This window comes from Homo sapiens, chromosome 9, assembly GCF_000001405.40.
Source record: "Homo sapiens chromosome 9, GRCh38.p14 Primary Assembly".
Taxonomy (NCBI): domain Eukaryota; kingdom Metazoa; phylum Chordata; class Mammalia; order Primates; family Hominidae; genus Homo; species Homo sapiens.
In genome coordinates, this window is record NC_000009.12 from 128,881,458 (window position 1) to 128,898,868 (window position 17,411).

Below are 17,411 nucleotides of genomic sequence, written 5' to 3' on the forward strand. Positions count from 1 at the left end.
ATTGTTCGTCTTAATGGCTGCACAGTATTCCACTGTATGGATTATTTTTTAATTTGGTTGCCGGTACTGTTATCAGCCAGGGAATTTGCGAGGACCCAGCGGGATTTATGGAGCTGCAGAGTTGGAGTCTGGGGACCCAATTCCAACCCCAGATCTGTCCAGAATTCTGTTGTCTCGGGTATCATCTCCACCGGCGCGGTCGTGGGAGGGGGATTTGGGTGCAGACAGGACCAGCCCCAGTGTCCGAGCGAGAATCAGCGAGCAGCACGCGCAGTTGATTCCCGCGGGCGGCTCAATCATTCTGTGCAGCCACTCCGTTATACTTAGTAGCATCAAACTCATTAAGCACTCTAGCACAACCAAGCTCGGAACCGTTAGCCGACCCTCCCAGCCTCGGCACCTGACCTTGGGGAAGTGGCGCTCCGACACAGCTACTCACCCTCACCTGGGCCGCTTCACCCCTCGTTCCCAAGTACACCCCGTAGGTTGCAGCAGTCCCTGTCCCTTTAAGGGGGCCGAGCCCGGCTCCGCTACTTCCGCCCCGAAGCAGCAGGGCGCTAGCGCGGAGGCGAGAGCGGGAGAAAGCGCCGCTAGAATTCTCCTCATAAAGATGGCGACGCCCTGGCCGCCGCGTTCGCGCCCGGCGGTGACGTCACTTCCGGGGCGGAGGAGGCTGAGTGGTGCAGTGAGGGACAAACAAAAGGAGGCGCCGGAGCAGCGCTGCGGCCGGCGGCGGGACGGAGCGGCCGGGGCCTGGGGCTGCCTGCCGGGCGGCCGGGCGCGGCGAGCCCAGGTGAGTGGACGGGGTGGGGAAAGGGGCGCGAGCTGTCACCTCTCGAAACCCACTTACACACGCCCTCGGCCAGCTGCCCGGCCCGGGGCGCCCGGGGCATCTGGGGCTCTGTCTCCGGGCCGGCCCCCTGGGGACCTCCCGCGGTGTTCGGCCTACCTCTGGGCTCCCCAGTGCCCGGAGTCTCCGGGGCACCACCTTCTCGCCGGCTCCGCGGCGCGCGAGCCCCCTCCCAGGCACCCCTGTGCCTCCTTGTGCTTCAGAAACCAGGAGTTTCCGCCTCGGCTCCCCCATGTCCCCTTGTCATCCCCTGGGTCCCCCCAGATCCTCACCCCTCCACACACACTCTCCCGTTCCTAGAGGTTCCACCTCTGGGCTCTCTCCTTGCCATTTCTTTTTCAAAGATTTCCTTAGCTGTCTTCTCCTGAGTTCCTGGTCCCCTTCTCTTCCCTTGCACCCCTCCTTCCTATCGTTCCGATGGGGGCAGTGCCCTGACTTGGGGGCAGGATCCCCGGCTAGGCTCTTGGGGCCTTTCTGGGATGGGATATTTGGGAAGACCGGTCCGGAATCTAAGAACCCAGACCCTGTCCCAGTCCTGTGCATTCAGGTGGGCCCGAGGGCGAGGCGAGATCCAGTGAGGTCCAGGCCTGGTGCAGCCCTAGGTGAGCTGGATACCCAGCAAACTGAGCTCCCAGGCTGAAGGGGCATAGCTGGGGTCATGGAGTTCATGATGATTCTGCTGCTTTCGCTGACTGCTTCTTCCCCTTGATCTGGACCGGGGTGAACCGAGGTCTGCCGGTTCTCAGCTGTTGCGATTGTTGCCTTTTTTGGGAAGGAGGGATGGGTCGGGGGTTGTCTGGTAGCCGCCTCCTGATGGAGACTTGGCTGGAAGGGTGGGCGGTTCCTGGGTGAGCCACACTTCCACTGACTCCTCTTCCCCTGCCCTACCTCAGGAAGCCTTTTGAGAATGAGGTGTGGAGGGAGAGCACCTGGTAAGAGGAAGGGAACTGGGGGAGCCCGAAGTTCCCAAGGACCTCTTCCACCTCTTCTGTTAGTAGTACTCTTAACCCCTGCCAAACTGTATTCTGCCCTTTGGAGCAGACAACCTGGCAGACAGACAGGCTGTAAGAAGCGGGAGGAGATCGGCTGTTGCTGATACTTCCTGTGGAGGGGATGTGGGAGTGGGAGTTTGTTCAGAGAGACTGGGCAGTGCTGATTGCTCAGTCTCACTGGTGTTGCTTCCATGAAGGTCAAGTCTTCCTCTGGCTCATGAAGTGAGGCAAGGACAGATGACCTGTGCTGGAGGAGGCTGTTGTGGACATGCCAGGGATGAGTGACTGGGTGGCTGGTCTCTGCTTCCTTGTTTTCCTGGTCTCAGGGCTTTGGCATGGGGTCTGATGCCCTCTGCGTTCTAGGGACCATAGGGTACAGAGCAGGGGGTGCAGGGCCGGGCGTGGTGGCTCACGCCTGTAATCCCAGCACGTTGGGAGGCTGAAGCGGGCAGATCACGAGGTCAGGAGTTCGAGACCAGCCTGGCCAACATAGTGAAACCTTGTCTCTACTAAAAATACAAAAAATTAGCCAGGCATGGGGCTGCGCACCCGTAATCCCAGCTATTCGGGAGGCTGAGGCAGGAGAATTGCTTGAACCCAGCAGGCAGAGGTTGCAGTGAGCCAAGATCGCGCCATTGCACTCCAGCTTGGGCAAGAAGAGCAAAATTCCATCTCAAAAAAACAAAAAAAAAAACAGAGCGGGGGCACAGGAAATGTTCATGACTTCCCCCCAGAACTTGACTAGATGTGGTGGTTCTCCATCCCTTAGGCACACCCACCAGGAAGCCGTTTCCTTTGCAAACTCTTGAATGACCTTTCTGGACTGTAGGGAATCCTGGGGATCACTGCCGTGGGTCAGAACTCAGGGAAGTGGCCGGACCCTGGGTTGCTGCCTGGCTTGGCCTGGACCTTGCCTGTAGGAGTTGGAGGGAAATCAGCCTGGTTCCTGACTGCCTCGTCTTAGAGTAGAGCTGATTCCAGGTTTTCACATGGAGAAACTGAGGCACACACTGATGGGCCAAGACCTCTTGGAGATTCAGGTGGGATGGATGTGGGGCTCTTAGAGCCCAGCACAGTGTCTCTCCATGCCTTGACTCATTCATTCATTCATTCATTCATTCAGCCATTCTTTAGAAAGTGCCTGTCTTGGGCCTGGGATGGCTGGGAAAACATCCCTGGCCTCCTGAGAGCTGCAGTCTGGGAGGACAGGCAAACCAGAAGACACATAAGTTCTGATATACTGTGGCCACCATATTAATAGAAATATTACAGAGGCAGCCCAGAGGAAGAAGGAATTAGCTCTGGGTGGTTATGTAGGGGGTGGTCAGGGTATGCTTTCTGGAAGAGGAGGGACTAGAATAATTAGTGACAGGGAGTCCAGGGGCCCAAGTTCTGGACCTGGCTCTGCCATGGGCAGGTGATTGGACCACCCAGCCTCAGTGGGTGCCCCATCCTTGACAAGGAGGGTAGAGTGAGGTAGAGGTTGGCTTGGATGGCCTCCGTGCCTATATAGCTGTAGGTACTTTACTGCCTAGTCACCACCACCCCGTATGGAATTGCAGGGTTATTGACCTACCTCCCATGACGGCGGAGACCATCTTCCATGTCTGCCCTCCCAGCACAGGGCCTGGAACTTAGTCAATATAGTAAATACCCAGTGGTAGAAATGATGGAAAAACAGCCATCCCTCCTAGATCAGTCCAGGTGTCTTTGTCTACCCCCGCCCTCCTCCTTCCTGGGTAACTCCTGCTGATCCTTTGGCTCTCTCTGGTGGCTGGGCCACTCTCCCAGCTCCTGGCTCCCCGAAACCCGTGTCGTAGTGATCACAGCTTTCCCTACCCTGCCACTCCCATGCACAGTTCTGCACAGTGTCTGGCGCATATGGAGTAGATGCTCACCAGAGGCTGGTTGACTGTCGGAGATGATGGGTGGATTTGGTGTTTAAGTTGGAGTCTGGGCACTGGCTGGTCTCTGCCTGACCCAGCCACCCCACTGTGGCTCATCTCTTGCCACTTCCCCTCTCTGGCTCTGGATCTCGCCATGCCGAGCCCGCAAGCCTTCTCCAGATGCCATGTACTCTCTCCTCCAGGTAAACATGTGCTGTTCCTCCTGCCTGGAATGCTCTTTTTCCAGCTCCTACTCTTAGGAGTCAACTCAGACAACTCCTCCTCCAGAAAGCCTTCCCTGACCCCACTAGTCTGGGTCTAGTGCTTCTCCTGGCTCCCCCGCAGCAGAGCTCTGAGCTCTCAGACCGTCGCTACTGACTTGGCACCTCCTCAGTAGACCAGGTTCTGGAGGGAGGTGCTCTGTCAGAACCTCTTTTGTCTGCCAGGCGCGGTGGCTCATGCCTGTAATCCCAATACTTTGGGAGGCCGAGGCGGGCAGATCCCTGGAGGTTAGGAGTTTGAGAGCAGCCTGGCTAACATGGGGAAACGCTGTCTCTACTAAAAATACAAAAAATTAGCCAGGCTTGGTGGTGCGCACCTGAAATCCCATCTACTCGAGAGGCTGAGGCAGGAGAATCACTTGAATGCGGGAGGCGGAGGTTGCAGTGAACCGAGATTGCACCACTATACAAAAAAAACCTCTTTTGTCACCCCAGAGCCCAGCCAAGGGCCTGCTACCAAGCAGGCTCTCAGGAAGTGCTGGCGGTGTGGCAGGTAACTGCGACAGTCACACATGTGCCTGCTGACGGCAGCTCTCGCTTCCTTGTAGGGAGGCAGCGTCCATGGAGCAAAAGGAATGCCAGGATCCTGCACAGGCAGACGCGGGCCAGCCTCAGCACCGACAGCCGACGCGCAGATAGCAGAGCCATCCTTGGGGTAAGGACTGGGCCCCTCTCCTTCTCAGCCAGCTCCAGCTCCAGTCAAGTGCCCTTCCCAGCCTGGGGAGCAAAGGGTAGCATCTCCATCCCCACAGTCCTTTGCTTTTCTTGCTGTAGGTCCAGGGTAGAGTGGCAGACAGCAGAATTACTCTCTTCCTCCTTCTCCCGCTGAGTAATGTGTGCTTGCCGCACTCATTGAATGCTGAGTTGTTTCATTGCAAACCTCTGTTTTTTCTCCTTCACCCCAGATCTTATCAGTCTGGGTCTTGCTAATGCAGCCTCATGACCACATTTCCCAAAAAGCGTGGACCACGTTTCCCAAGTGTGTTCCATGAGACACCAGTTTCTTCGGTCACAGTGGTTTGATAATTCCAGGAAACAAAGACTTCTTGTTATCCTTGCTGCAGGACTTATCAGAGTCTTGAATCAGAGCCGTCATCAGGATTGAGCTGATCACGATAAGGGAGCTAGCGACTCGTGTTTCCCCACACTTATTTGATCGTGTAGACATCTTTGGGGACTGGGATTCCTTGGCCTGTGCTTTGGAAAACAGTTCCCAGAGGCAGGAGAGTCCCTTTAGAACATTTGGAGGATTAAATATGTTGACATAGAGCAGGCAGTTGGCAGAGTGCATGTCCTAGAAGGTGGTCCCGAGTCATAGCTGGTGTGTGTATAGACGGCTGTGTAATTTGCCAGACATACTCAGGTCGGTGATCTCATTTGACCATTTGAGGATGCTTAGGCAGTGGCCATTATCTCCAGTTTACAGATGTGGAAACTGAGAATCAGAGTGAGGAAGCAGCTTGCCCAGACTCATCTGTAAAGAAGGCAAGGACATGCGGCTTGAATCCAGACCCTGGAATCCTGGGCCAGGGTCTTCTGTTGTCTGCCCTGAGGCCTTCCTGCCTTTATCTCTCACCTCAGTTTTTTGTGTGAAGGAAGGCCTGAGTCTCCCAGCCTGGATTTTAAAAGAAATAGTAATTTTTTTTTTTTGTAATTACCAACATAGTTGTATATTCATTATATGGTTTTATACTGTTTGGCTATTTTTGGGGGACAGGGTCTCACTCTGTTGCCCAGGCTGGAGTGCAGTGGCACCATCATGACTCACTGCAGCCTCGATCTCCAAGGCTCCAGCGATCCTCCTGCCTCAGCCTCCCAACTAGCTGGGACTGCAGGTGTGCACTACTGTGCCCAGCTAATTTTATTTATTTATTTATTATGGAGATAGAGCCTCTCTACATTGCCCAGGCTGGTCTCGAACTCCTGGGTTCAAGAGATGCTCCTGCCTTGGCCTCCTAAAGTGCTGGGATTATGGGTGTGAGCCACCATGCCAGACCTGTTTGGATCTTTAATGTCATCTAGGAAATGAGTCTCTGCTGATTCTCATCTTCAGAGGTGTGAATGGGAAGGGGTATATTCTTCCACATCTATTGTTACCATTTGCTTATTTTTATAAAAATCTGGTCATGTTTGAGTTGCTGATTCACAGTTTGCTTTTGTTTCATATAATGATATCCCCCGGACCTCTTTTTTTTTTGAGATGGAGTCTTTGTCACCCAGGCTGGAGTGCAGTGGCACAATCTCAGCTCACTGCAAGCTCTGCCTCCCGGGTTCACTCCATTCTCCTGCCTCAGCCTCCCGAGTAGCTGGGACTACAGGCGCCCGCCACCACGCCCGGCTAATTTTTTTTGTATTTTTAGTAGAGACGGGGTTTCACCATGTTAGCCAGGATGGTCTTGATCTCCTGACCTTGTGATCCGCCGCCTTGGCCTCCCAAAGTGCTGGGATTATAGGCATGAGCCACCGCGCCCGGCTCCCCTGGACCTCTTTCCCATGCAAGAGGTAGATAGAGCTGTGTGTGGTCCTGGCAGAATGCACACCCTTGAGCCCCCCTGGCCCCTCCCCCTCACATGCTGGGAGTTTTGAGCTGTTTGGGCATTTACAGCAGCAGAGGGAGGTCGGAAGTGCCTGGTGTGTGATTGTGTCGACTCTCCTGTTTATGGGATAAGGTCAGCCAACTCCTGGCTCTGCCCCATAGGAGTTTCCTGTTGGTTTTGAGGAACTCTGTCCCCTGGAGAGAGGGGAGGCCTGAGCTGTAGTCTTTCATGCTGGGCAGCGCTGAGCAGGAAGCAGCAGGTCCTGCTTGTCAGATCATAATTCCTCCTTTTTGCCAAGGATGGCGTGGAATGAACCGCATGGGCCGGCCTGAGGGGTTTTGGCCTCCACCCACCACCTGGGTTCAGGGGACACACATGAATCAAGCTGAGACAAATTGAGTCTGAGCCATTGTTCTCCTGAGCCCAGCCCTTCCTGGGGATAGGAAGGAACAGGCAGACCCTGACTCAGTTTACCCTTGCTGTATCTGGAGGAAGTGTTGGTTGTGGTCCTTTTGGCATGCTCCTTTCAAGTTTTAGTTCTGAGAGTGGGCAGGTGAGGAGCAGGAGGAGGGCCCACCCTGCCACCTGGGTCCAAAGATGCTCTCTTTTGGGGTATAGCTGACCTCAGGAAGGGTTTGGGCAAGGAGAGCATACAGGCGTGGCAGCCTCGTTTTGCGGGGCTGCGAGAGCGTCTGGCAGGATCGCGCTGGGAGTGAGGTCTGTGCCAGAGCTCCTGACATCTCACCTGTGTTTTTCAGGCTCACTGTCCTGTCGCTTTCCCTCCCCCACGTCACTTCCTCCATTCTTCCCCAGGAGTCTCTTTTCTCTCCCATACACTGCTTGGGAGAGAGCTGCAGAGCTGGCCCCTCCACAGATGGTGCTCAGCGTCTCTGGCTTCTCCTTCCTGCAGTAGCACCTTCATAGTCCGTGGTCATTCTCAGCACCATGTCTCAGTGCTGAGCCACAGGCTGGGATGCTGCACGCATTTGCCCATCTTACCTTCGCCACAGCCTTGCGTGTGAGGTTGCTTTACCATTTTACAGACCAAGCCCCAGAGGGATGAGGTCTCTGGCCCAAAGTTATACAGTGTACATGTGGCAAAGCTAGGACTTGAACCCAGGTTGGTATGGCTTGGCAGCTGGGGCTCTTTCTACTTCACCCTCCATTACCCTCTTTTCTCAGGTTCCCAGGCTTTTGGGGGCCTTCAAAGTCACCTGGAAGCTTGTCTAAAATGCTGTTCCCCTGGGCCCACCACCACAGACCTGCAGAGTCTGCCCTGGAAGGTTGGCCCCAGGAATCTGAACTTTGAAGATGCTTCCCCAGCAGTTGTGAGGCTGGTGGGCTACAAACAATGCTGAGAAACACTGACCGGACGCCATTCTTTCAGCCTTAGTCCCAGTCGTCTACCGCAGAACTCATGCCCTTGGTGTGGAAGCAGGGCTGAGCTCCCCACAGGACTGGGACTGGACAGGTTTTTTTTTTTTTGTTTAATTAATTAATTAATTATTTTGAGATGGAGTGTTGCTCTGTCACCCAGGCTGGAGTGCAGTGGCACAATCTTGCTCACTGCAACCTCCACCTCCCAGGTTCAAGCTATTCTCCTGCCTCAGCCTCCCGAGTAGCTGGGACTACAGGTGCCCGCCACCATGCCCAGCTAATTTTTGTATTTTTAGTAGAGACGGGGTGTCACCATATTGGCCATGGCTGGTCTCGATCTCCTGACCTTGTGATCCACCCACCTTGTTCTCCAAAGTTCCAGGACTACAGCCGTGAGCCACTGCGCCTGGCCAATTTTTTTAATTTAATTTTACTTTTTTGAGATGGAATCCTGCTCTGTTGCCCAGACTGGAGTGCAATGGTGCCATCTTGGCTCATTGCAGCCTCTGCCTCCTGGGTTCAAGTGATTCTCCTGTCTCAGCCTCCCAAGTAGCTGGGATTACAGATGTGCACCACCACGCCTGGCTAATTTTTGTATTTTTAGTAGAGACGGGGTTTCACCTTGTTGGTCAGGCTGGTCTCGAACTCCTGACCTCAGGTGATCCACCCACCTCGGCCTCCCAAAGTGCTGGGATTACAGGTGTGAGCCACCGCACCTGGCCAGACAGTTGTTTTTTAGTGGCTTCATTTTGTGTGTGTGTGTGTGTGTGTGTGTGTGTGTGTGTGTGTGCTGGGAAGGCGAGGGGCTTAACCTTCCCTCCTCAAGGACGTGTGGGGCTGAGGTTTCTAGAAGGGCTTTTACTCCCAGCCACAAATGTTCCCTGCTGTCTTCCAGATGCGTTTCTGTTGCGTCTTGCGTCTTGCAGCAAGTTTGTCTACATCTAAACGTCTCTTGAGGGCTTAAAACCTCAAAATTAAATTGCTTGCTGCAATCTAAGCCTCACGCCTAGAGCAATGTTCCAGTGGAGTAAAAGTGGCTGTAAAATTCCATAGCTTTCACGTGCCACCTGGACGCCGTCAGAGTGCCACTGCCAAACCTGCGCCCTCTGACGGGCAGCATGACAAACGCACTGACCAGCAGCGGGGGCGGTGGGCGGGAATCCTGGCCCTGAAGGGACACCTCGCATCTCCCAGCTGACTCCATGAGTCAGGATCCCTGGGGGTAGCCCCCTTCCATCCCAGAGAGTCGGGTACCAGGCAGCTCACCCTCTGTCAGACCCCCCAGTCCTCCCCCTGGCTCACCTAGGGCTTGGCCAGTGCCCACTCCCCTGGGATCTCAGCAGAAGATGTGTCTGCTGCCTCTCTAGGGTACTGGTGGCCACATTTCATAACCTGTCTAAGAAGGCAGCGCTGGTATTCATAACAGGTTAAGACCTGTAAACCGTGTGTGGCCGTGACTCCATGTGCAAATATGAGCCAACAAACGTTGGCTGGACGTGGCGGTTCCCACCAGTAATCCCAGCACTTTGGGAGGCTGAGGTGGAGGATTGCTTGAGCCCAGGAGTTCCAGACCAGCCTGGGCAACATAGTGACCTGTCTCTACAAAAATAAAAAAAAAATTAGTCCAGGCACAGTGGCTCAGCACTTTGGGAGGCTGAGGCAGGTGGATCACCTGAGGTCAGGAGTTCAAGACCAGCCTGGCCAACATGGTGAAACCCCGTTTCTACTAAAAAATACAAAAATCAGCCGGGTATGGTGACATGCACCTGTAATCCCAGCTACTTGGGAGGCTGAGGCAGGAGAATCACTTGAACCCGGGAGGCGAAGGTTGCAGTGAGCCGAGATTGTGCCACTGCACTTTAGCCTGGTGACAGAGTGAGATCCCGTCTAAAAAAAAAAATTAGCCAGGTGTGGTGGCATGTGCATGTAGTTCCAGCTACTTAGAGGTTGAGACTGGAGGACTGCTTGAACCCAGGAGTTCCAGACCAGCCTGGGCAACATAACAACCTATCTCTACAAAAAATTTTTAAAAATAGCCAGGTGTGGTGGCACATGCCTGTAGTTTCAGCTACTCGGAGGCTGAGGCTGGAGGATCGCTTGAGCCAAGGAGTTCAAAGTTGCAGTGAGTCATGATCGCACCATTGTGCTCCAGCCTCGGCGACAGCGCAAGATCCTGTCTCAAAAAAAATAAAACGGCCTGCCTTCTAGGCCCTTCTGCCCCCAGGGCCCAGACCCAACACTGCCTTCTGGCCCTAAACCCAGGGCTAGGCTCCCTTCCAGAGCTTCCTTATAGCAGTACCCGTGAGACCAGAGGCATCTGAGTATGGCCTGATGGGGTTCCCTGTAGAGCCCTGGTTTCCATGTACCCCCTAAGGAAAAGAGTATCTTGTCTCAAGAAGTATCTTCAAGGGCCTGGGTCCCAGGTGGGTCCGGGAGGCCTGCTTGTCTTTGAGGCAGGTTGGCACAATGGAAAGTCGGGCTTGGGGTGCATCTTCCCAGCTCTTCCTAGCTGTGTGGCCTTGGGCAGGTTACCAAACTTCTCTGGGCCTCCGACATCACACCCATAAAAGGACTGATTTAAACTCTACCATAATAATAACAGCAGTGAACGTTCCAGAGCCTTACTGTATGGCAGGCACTAGTCCAAAAGCTTTATATGGACTGTCTCCTTCTGTCCTCATCACAGCCCTCCAAGCAATAGACTTGTCAACCCATTTTACAGATGAGGAAACCAGAGCCCAGCGAGGTGAAGGGACTTTCTCACGGTCTCGTGGTGAGGTGGGTGCCACCTTGCTGCTATGCATGAAGGTTGGGAGATGGGGCAAGGACATACTGGGCACTTAGTTGACGGTCAGTAACTGGGCGCTCCTGCCCCAGCCTGGCAGGGCGAGGGCAGGTCCTGAGGCTGCACCTCCAGCCCCACCTGCTGCCTCTCTCTGCTTGGCTCCGGAGCTGCTGGGGGAAGCCCAGGTGGGTGTCCCTCACCTGTTGCCTTTCACCCTAGAAGGCGGGCCACGCCCTTGCAAGTTGGTGTGAGGATGAACCTGTTTGGGAGCCCAGCCCAGGTGAGAGCAGTTTGGAACTGACCCGTGCTCCCCTCCCCCTCCAGCCCTGGCGTCTCCCCTCTTCCTCTCCCCAGGAAGTGAGGGTGTACCCTTCTACACAGGGCGAGTCCCAAGCCAGGCAACACCCCCAGCCAGCAGCCTCTGACTCACCCCAGCTGGGTGTGGGGGCCTCCAGGGCAGTGTCCGCCCTGGGGAGGGTGGAGGCTGTGTGTGCCAGACGAGGCTGAGACCTCTCCTCCCACTCTGGCTCTGGGACAGGGGAAGCACATGACCCATGGCCCGTGGTGGGAGCAGATCCACAGGCTTGGAACCCTCCCGGGACAGGGCCTGTTGAGAGCGGCCCCTTCGCGCTCCCTGGGAGAGCACTGGAGGGCCAGCCTTCCCATCTCTGGTACAGGAGGGGTGCCAACCTCCCGCCTCCCCTCCTGCTTGGGAAGTTTTCCTGGCTCAGCCTTGTTTGTGCTTTCACAAAAGGCTCTCTGTGCCCTGTTTACCCGCAGCCCGACTGCCTGCCGCCCAGGTGTGGGAGCCACGCCAAATCCCTGTGGGCCCACATGGGGTCTGGTGCGTGCTGGGGGGGTCTCTCTCTGGGACAGAGTGGGCAGCTTGTCATTTCTTGACTCCCTGTCTTCGAGAAGCATCCAGGGGATGTGGACTGGGGCTGAACCTAATGACTGGCTCTGAGAGCAGATGGCCAACTCTGCCACACGGGGTCCTGAGCCTGGGAGGGTCTCTGAGTGGTCTGCGAGTTTTCGAGGTTCTGCGAGTCCTGGGGGGTCCTGTGGGTCTCTGAGTGGTCTGGCCCTGCTCAGAGACATGGTGCTTGAGGCTCCGCCCTCACCCAGGTCAGTCCCCACTGAATTCTGGGAGGGTCATCTGCGATGGCAGGTGGGACCGTGGAACGACAGCCTGAGTGTGCCCGGTGCTGTATTGACACATGATGCCTTACTTTTAATTCTCACGATAACCCATTTCACAGCTATAACCCATTTTAGGATGTAATATTTCCATCTTGCAGTTGAGGACACAGAGGCTCTGAGGCCCCAGTGAGGCAGTAGTGGGGTTGGCGTTTGAGTTGCCCAACTCTGGGGTCTGAACTCCTCCCTGCTCTGCTCCCAGGAGGTGAGGACCGCAAGCTGCTGAGCGTGAGTGTTACGAGGCAGGGCAGGGAGGATGAGGCTGACCTGTTTCTAATGTACGGATGGCAGCTACGCATAAATTCTTTTATCATCCTGAGAAACCACACAGTGAGGAAGGTCTTTTGATTTATTTCCAAGCAGTTTTTCTACTCATAAACATACCAGATTTAAATAATGGAAGAATGTATAATATAGACAGCCCTCTACAGTCTCACCACGAGTAGACTTAACTATATATAGTTCTGTGCATAGCTTTCTAAATTCTTTTCTGTACACAGTAATGAGTTTGTTATTGATATAATTTTATTTTTTGAGACAGAGTCTCACTCTGTCACCCAGGCAGGAGTACAGCAGCACAGATTCGGCCCACTGCAACCTGCGCCTCCCGGGTTCAAGTGATTCTCCTGCCTCAGCCTGCTGAGTAGCTGGGACTACAGTTGTGTGCTACCACGCCCAGCTAATTTTTTTGTATTTTTAGTAGAGACGGGGTTTCGCCATGTTGGCCAGGCTGGTCTCAAACTCCTGACCTCAAGTAATCCACCCACCTCGGCCTCCCAAAGTGCTAGGATTACAGGCGTGAGCCACCGTGCCCAGCCATCATTCTTGTTTTAAAAAATTGCCAGGCATGGTGGCTCACACCTGTAATCCCAGCACTTTGGGAGGCTGAGGCAGGCAGATCACAAGGTCAGTAGATCGAGATCATCCTGGTTAACACGATGAAACCCCGTCTGTACTAAAAATACAAAAAAATTTGCCGGGCATTGTGGTGGGTGCCTATAGTCCCAGCTACTTGGGAGGCTGAGGCAGGAGAATGGCGTGAACCTGGGAGGCAGAGCTTGCAGTGAGCAGAGATCATGCCACTGCACTCCAGCCTGGGCAACAGAGTGAGACTCCATCTCAAAAAAAAAAAAATTATACCAGTAACAGACCAGGTACAGTGGCTGACACCTGTAATCCCAGCACTTTGGGACACCAAGGCAGGTGAATCACTTGAGGTCAGGAGTTTGAGACCACCCTGGCCAACATGGCAAAACCCCATCTCTAGTAAAAATACAAAAATTAGCCAGGAGTGGTGGCACACACCTGTAGTCCCAGCTACTTGGGAGGCTGAGGCAGGAGAATCGCTTGAACCCAGGAGGTAGAGTTTGCAGTGAGCCAAGACCACACCACTGTACTCCAGCCTTGGCAACAGAGTGAGACTCTACCTCAAAAAAAAAAAAAAAAAGATATCATATTTCCTAATTTTTTTCATTGTGGTAAAATACACATGACATAAAATTTACCACCTTAACCATTTGTAAGTGTACACTTCAATGGTATTAAGTACATTCATATTGTGTATCCATCACTACCACCCATCTCCAGAACTGTTTTCATCTTGCAAAACTGAAACTCTCTGCACCCATTAAACGCTCACTCCCCATTTCCTGCTCCCCCAGGCCCTGGTATCCCTTCTGTTTTCTGTCTATTCACTTATGTGAATAAGTGAAATCAAAGTATTTGCCTTTTATGACTGGCTTCTTTCGCAGATAACACATTTTATATACTGCTCAGCAAAATTCTTTTATGCTTAATATCTCTTAGATGTCTCTGGGGTCACTGCATACACATCTACAAGGAAGGTGGCGTTATTCCTGATTTAAAGTTGTAGAAGCTCGGGAGGCTGAGGTAGGAGAATCACTTGAACCCGGGAGGTGGAGGTTGCAGTGAGCCAAGACCGTGCCACTGCACTCCAGCCTGGGCCACGGAGCAAAGCAAGACTGTCTCCAAGATAAAATAAAATAAGTTGTAAAAGCAGAGGCTTAGGCTAAACAATTTGCCTGGGGTCACAGAATTATTTCTTGCTGGAGCTGGATTTGAACCTACATGTCCCAAACTCCAAGTCCTTGCTCTCTCTGCTCCCTGAGATCCACCTGTGCCTGAGGGAAGGCTGGGGCTCTCTGGGTTACTCATTTAACCCCCAGGCACAGAGATGCCCTGGCCCTGGCCAGGAACCTGGTCCCATTTGTCCTAGGCACCTGCTTGAGCTGCCTTGTGGGAAGGGCCTGTTCTGCATGATGCCCACTTCTACATCTCCCTGGGGGCAGGGCAGGACCAGGTAGGGAGTGCTTACGAGTTCTGCAGGGTCCTCAGGGGCTGAGGAGCAGCAGCTGGTAGGAGGAGCTGCCTCTGCTGCTCCGGTAACCTGGTAAGATGCAGTAGCTGCTGCTCCCCGCTGAGCCTTCGCCTGTGGGAGGTTGGGGAGAGCACTGGCTATGCAGGGTAGGAATGCATGAGTGTTTCAGTGAGTTTTGTGTGATGAAATGGTTTAAGAAAAGTATAAAAACTAGAACAGATACATCCATATCAAGAACTCAGCTTTGTCAGACTTCAGTGTTTTGCAGTAATTGTTTCAGATACACACATGCACGCACGCACACACTTGAATGTGCGCAGGCACTTAAGTAAAATATTCCAAGCACAGTTGAAGTCCCTTCCCCATTTTCTTCCCTCCCTAGATACAATCATTATCTTGGTTTGGAGACTTTCCATGCATGCTTTTGTATCTTCGGTATACTTGGGTATACACCTTGTAGAAAACCTTATATAACATATGCATCATCTACAACTTGTTTTTTGGATCAACATTGCTTTTGAGGTTTATCCACATTGATACATGTTGCTACAGTTCATTAACTTTAATTGATTTAAAGCATTTCCATTGTATGATTAGAACAACGTATCCTTTCTCCTGTTGATGAACATGTGGGTCATTTCTGATTTTTTGCTATTACAAACAATTCTTCAGTGAGCATCCTTGTGTGTGGTTTCTCACTTATGTGTGGAGCAGCTTTCTAAGATGCATAAATAATGAGGAGAGGAGTTGCTGGGTTGTAGAGTACGTGCATCCTACCTTCTCTAAGAGTTCACAGTTTTTGCCAATTGGGGGAGTGAAGTGATATGTGATCGTTTTAATTTACATTCCTTGATTACTAGCAAGGCTAAGAATTATTTCATACATTGGTTCCATTTGCATTTTTCCCCTGTGAATTGCCTATGCGTATATTTTGCCATTTCCCCTCATTGGATTGTTTTTGTCTTATTTATGCAGGATTTCTGTATTTATTCTGGATACTAATCTTTTCTTTTTTCTTTCTTTCTTTATTTTTTTCTTTGAGCCAGAGTCTTGCTCTGTCACCCATGCTGGAGTGCAGTGGTACGATGTCTGCTCACCGCAACCTCCGCCCCCTGAGTTCAAGGGATTCTCCTGCCTCAGCCTCCTGAGTAGCTGGGACTACAGGCATGTGCCACCAGGCCCAGCTAATTTTTTTGTATTTTTAGTAGAGATGGGGTTTCAGCATGTTGGCCAGGCTGGTCTCAAACTCCTGACCTCAAATGATCCACCTGCCTCAGCCTCCCTAAGTTCTGGGATTACAGGCGTGAGCAGTTGTGCCCGGCTGTATTCTGGATATTAATCTTTTGGTAGTTTTAAACTTTGGAAATAACTCTTCCTAGTCTGTGGCTTCTTTTCACTTGTTTATTATTATGTCTTTCGATGTATGCTTTAACTTTAATGTGATCAATACGTTACGTTTCCTATAAGGATTTATACATTTTGTGGTAAGATATTCCTATCTTAATGACATTAAGACAGTCTCTGATTTTTCTTTTCTTTTTGAGATGGAGTTTCACTCTTGTTGCTCAGACTGGAGATCTTGGCTCACTGTAGCCTCCACCTCCCTGGCTCAAGCAATTCTCCTGCCTCAGCCTCCCGAGTAGCTGGGATTACAGGTGCCTCCACCACACCTGGCTAATTTTTTATATTTTTAGTAGAGACAGGATTCCGCCATGTTGGCCAGGCTGGTCTCAAACTCCTGAGGTGATCAGCCCACCTCAGCCTCCTCAAGTGCTGGGATTACAGACGTGAGCCACAGCACACGGCCTGTCTTAGCTATTCTTGATCCTTTGAGATCGTGATTTAAAAAAAAATTTTTTTTTTGAGACAGTTTTATTCTTGTTGCCCAGGCTGGGGTGCAATGGCGCAATCTCGGCTCACTGCAGTCTCCGCCTCCTGGGTTCAAGTGATTGTCCTGCCTCAGCCTTCCAAGTAGCTGGGATTACAGGTGCCCTGCAGCACGCCTGGCTAATTCTTTGTATTTAGTAGAAATGGGGTTTCACCATGTTAGTCAGGCTGGTCTCAAACTCCTGACCTCAGGTGATCCTCCCACCTCGGCCTTCCAAAGTGCTGGGATTACAGGCGTACACCTCCGTGCCTGGCAAAATAATCTTTTTTCTTAATTATGAGTAACAAATGGTTATAATAAAAAAATAGAGGGCAGGGGCAGTGGCTCGCGACATTGCACTCCAGCTTGGATGACAGAGTGAGACTCTGTCTCAAAAAAAAAAAAAAAAAGATAAGTTTGGGGTGAAAAAGGGTAATAAACAGCAGTCTAACCTCACTTCTAAGATTGTTCAGTGTGTGTGTGTGTGTGTGTGTGTGTGTGTGTGTGTGTGTGTGTGTGTAATTTATGGCAGAGGGGTTATGTACTTTTTAGATTTAACATACTTTGAACATTTCCTCTTGTTATCAAGTGTTTTGTTCTAATGCACTTTTGGGATTGCATAGTATTCCCTTATCTGATCATTGAGTATGTTTTTTGTTTGTTTGTTTTGTGAGACGGAGTCTTGCTCTGTCGCCCAGGCTGGAGGGCAGTGGTGCGATCTTAGCTCACTGCAACCTCCACCACCTGGGTTCAAGCAATTCTCCTGCCTCAGCCTCCCAAGTAGTTGATCCAGTAGCTTCTTTAACCAGGGTGTGCTTATTGTCCACCTACTGCGTGCCAGGCCCCGCCTGTCTCTTTACCAGGTGTCCTGGAGCCCTCTGATGGTTTTCCTTCTTCCATTTCCCAACTTAACTCTCGAATGCACTTTTCATTCACTCACCAGGTGTCTCCTGAAGTCAGGGTTGCTCTGGCAGGGCTGGGCCAGGCCTATTTTGCTCTCCACTTCCTGTTCACATCCACCCGCAGGCTCTGGCTGGCCTTGGCACACTGGATGTGTTGAATGTTTCAGGCCCTGGCCTTTTAGCAGCCCTCTAAGGCAGGGCCTATCTTTAGCCCCATTCAAAGATGGGGTAACTAAGGCTCAGAGAGGTGAAGTCACCTGCCCAACATCACAAGTAGCAGAGCCAGTCTGGCCCTGGCCCGGCCCTTGCCTCCAAGCTCATGTAGGCTTGCTCTCCACTGACCTGGGCTCTCACACAGGTAGTTTGGGAAGCCTCATTTCTGTGATCTTCATGATAGTC

The 17,411-nt window shown here is 52.4% G+C and overlaps 3 protein-coding genes across 35 annotated transcripts in view, besides 4 other annotated features; 1 reads left to right on the forward strand and 2 right to left on the reverse strand.

Annotated features, from left to right (window-relative positions):
- Positions 1–493, reverse strand: part of KYAT1-SPOUT1 (KYAT1-SPOUT1 readthrough) — a 62,300-nt gene extending 61,807 nt beyond the window's left edge. For 2 of the 3 annotated variants that reach the window (NR_182311.1, NR_182310.1), the window contains exon 1: positions 440–493. The gene's annotated coding sequence lies outside the window, so the exon portion shown is untranslated. The remainder of the gene's footprint in view (positions 1–439) is intronic. The other variant, NM_001414398.1, reaches the window with a different exon arrangement.
- KYAT1 (kynurenine aminotransferase 1) overlaps positions 1–1,066 on the reverse strand; it is a 49,582-nt gene extending 48,516 nt beyond the window's left edge. For 10 of the 17 annotated variants that reach the window (NR_148224.2, NR_109829.3, NM_001122672.2 and 7 more), the window contains exon 1: positions 440–493. The gene's annotated coding sequence lies outside the window, so the exon portion shown is untranslated. Of the gene's footprint in view, positions 1–439; positions 494–949 lie in introns of those variants that run through there. The other 7 variants (NM_001122671.2, NM_001352991.2, NM_001352997.2 and 4 more) reach the window with 2 other exon arrangements.
- Positions 563–712: an enhancer, noted in NCBI's record as "active region_29094". NCBI's record gives its function as "activates an Ori minimal core promoter by ATAC-STARR-seq in GM12878 lymphoblastoid cells {active_cell/tissue: GM12878}" and the evidence as "EXISTENCE:reporter gene assay evidence [ECO:0000049][PMID:35858748]".
- The window catches only part of LRRC8A (leucine rich repeat containing 8 VRAC subunit A), a 35,907-nt gene continuing 19,171 nt past the window's right edge, over positions 676–17,411 (forward strand). The window contains exons 1-4 of one of the 15 annotated variants that reach the window (XM_047423596.1): positions 676–793; positions 4,558–4,664; positions 10,610–10,701; positions 10,928–10,988. The gene's annotated coding sequence lies outside the window, so the exon portion shown is untranslated. Of the gene's footprint in view, positions 794–1,176; positions 3,932–4,557; positions 4,665–10,609; positions 10,702–10,927; positions 10,989–17,411 lie in introns of those variants that run through there. The other 14 variants (XM_047423597.1, XM_047423601.1, XM_011518864.3 and 11 more) reach the window with 14 other exon arrangements.
- Positions 743–1,022: a silencer, noted in NCBI's record as "silent region_20355". NCBI's record gives its function as "represses an Ori minimal core promoter by ATAC-STARR-seq in GM12878 lymphoblastoid cells {active_cell/tissue: GM12878}" and the evidence as "EXISTENCE:reporter gene assay evidence [ECO:0000049][PMID:35858748]".
- Positions 3,989–4,751: an enhancer, noted in NCBI's record as "H3K27ac-H3K4me1 hESC enhancer chr9:131647725-131648487 (GRCh37/hg19 assembly coordinates)". NCBI's record gives its function as "activates a minimal SCP1, AML or CMV promoter by ChIP-STARR-seq in naive H9 embryonic stem cells {active_cell/tissue: H9 hESC(naive)}" and the evidence as "EXISTENCE:reporter gene assay evidence [ECO:0000049][PMID:30033119]".
- Positions 10,787–11,394: an enhancer, noted in NCBI's record as "H3K4me1 hESC enhancer chr9:131654523-131655130 (GRCh37/hg19 assembly coordinates)". NCBI's record gives its function as "activates a minimal SCP1, AML or CMV promoter by ChIP-STARR-seq in naive H9 embryonic stem cells {active_cell/tissue: H9 hESC(naive)}" and the evidence as "EXISTENCE:reporter gene assay evidence [ECO:0000049][PMID:30033119]".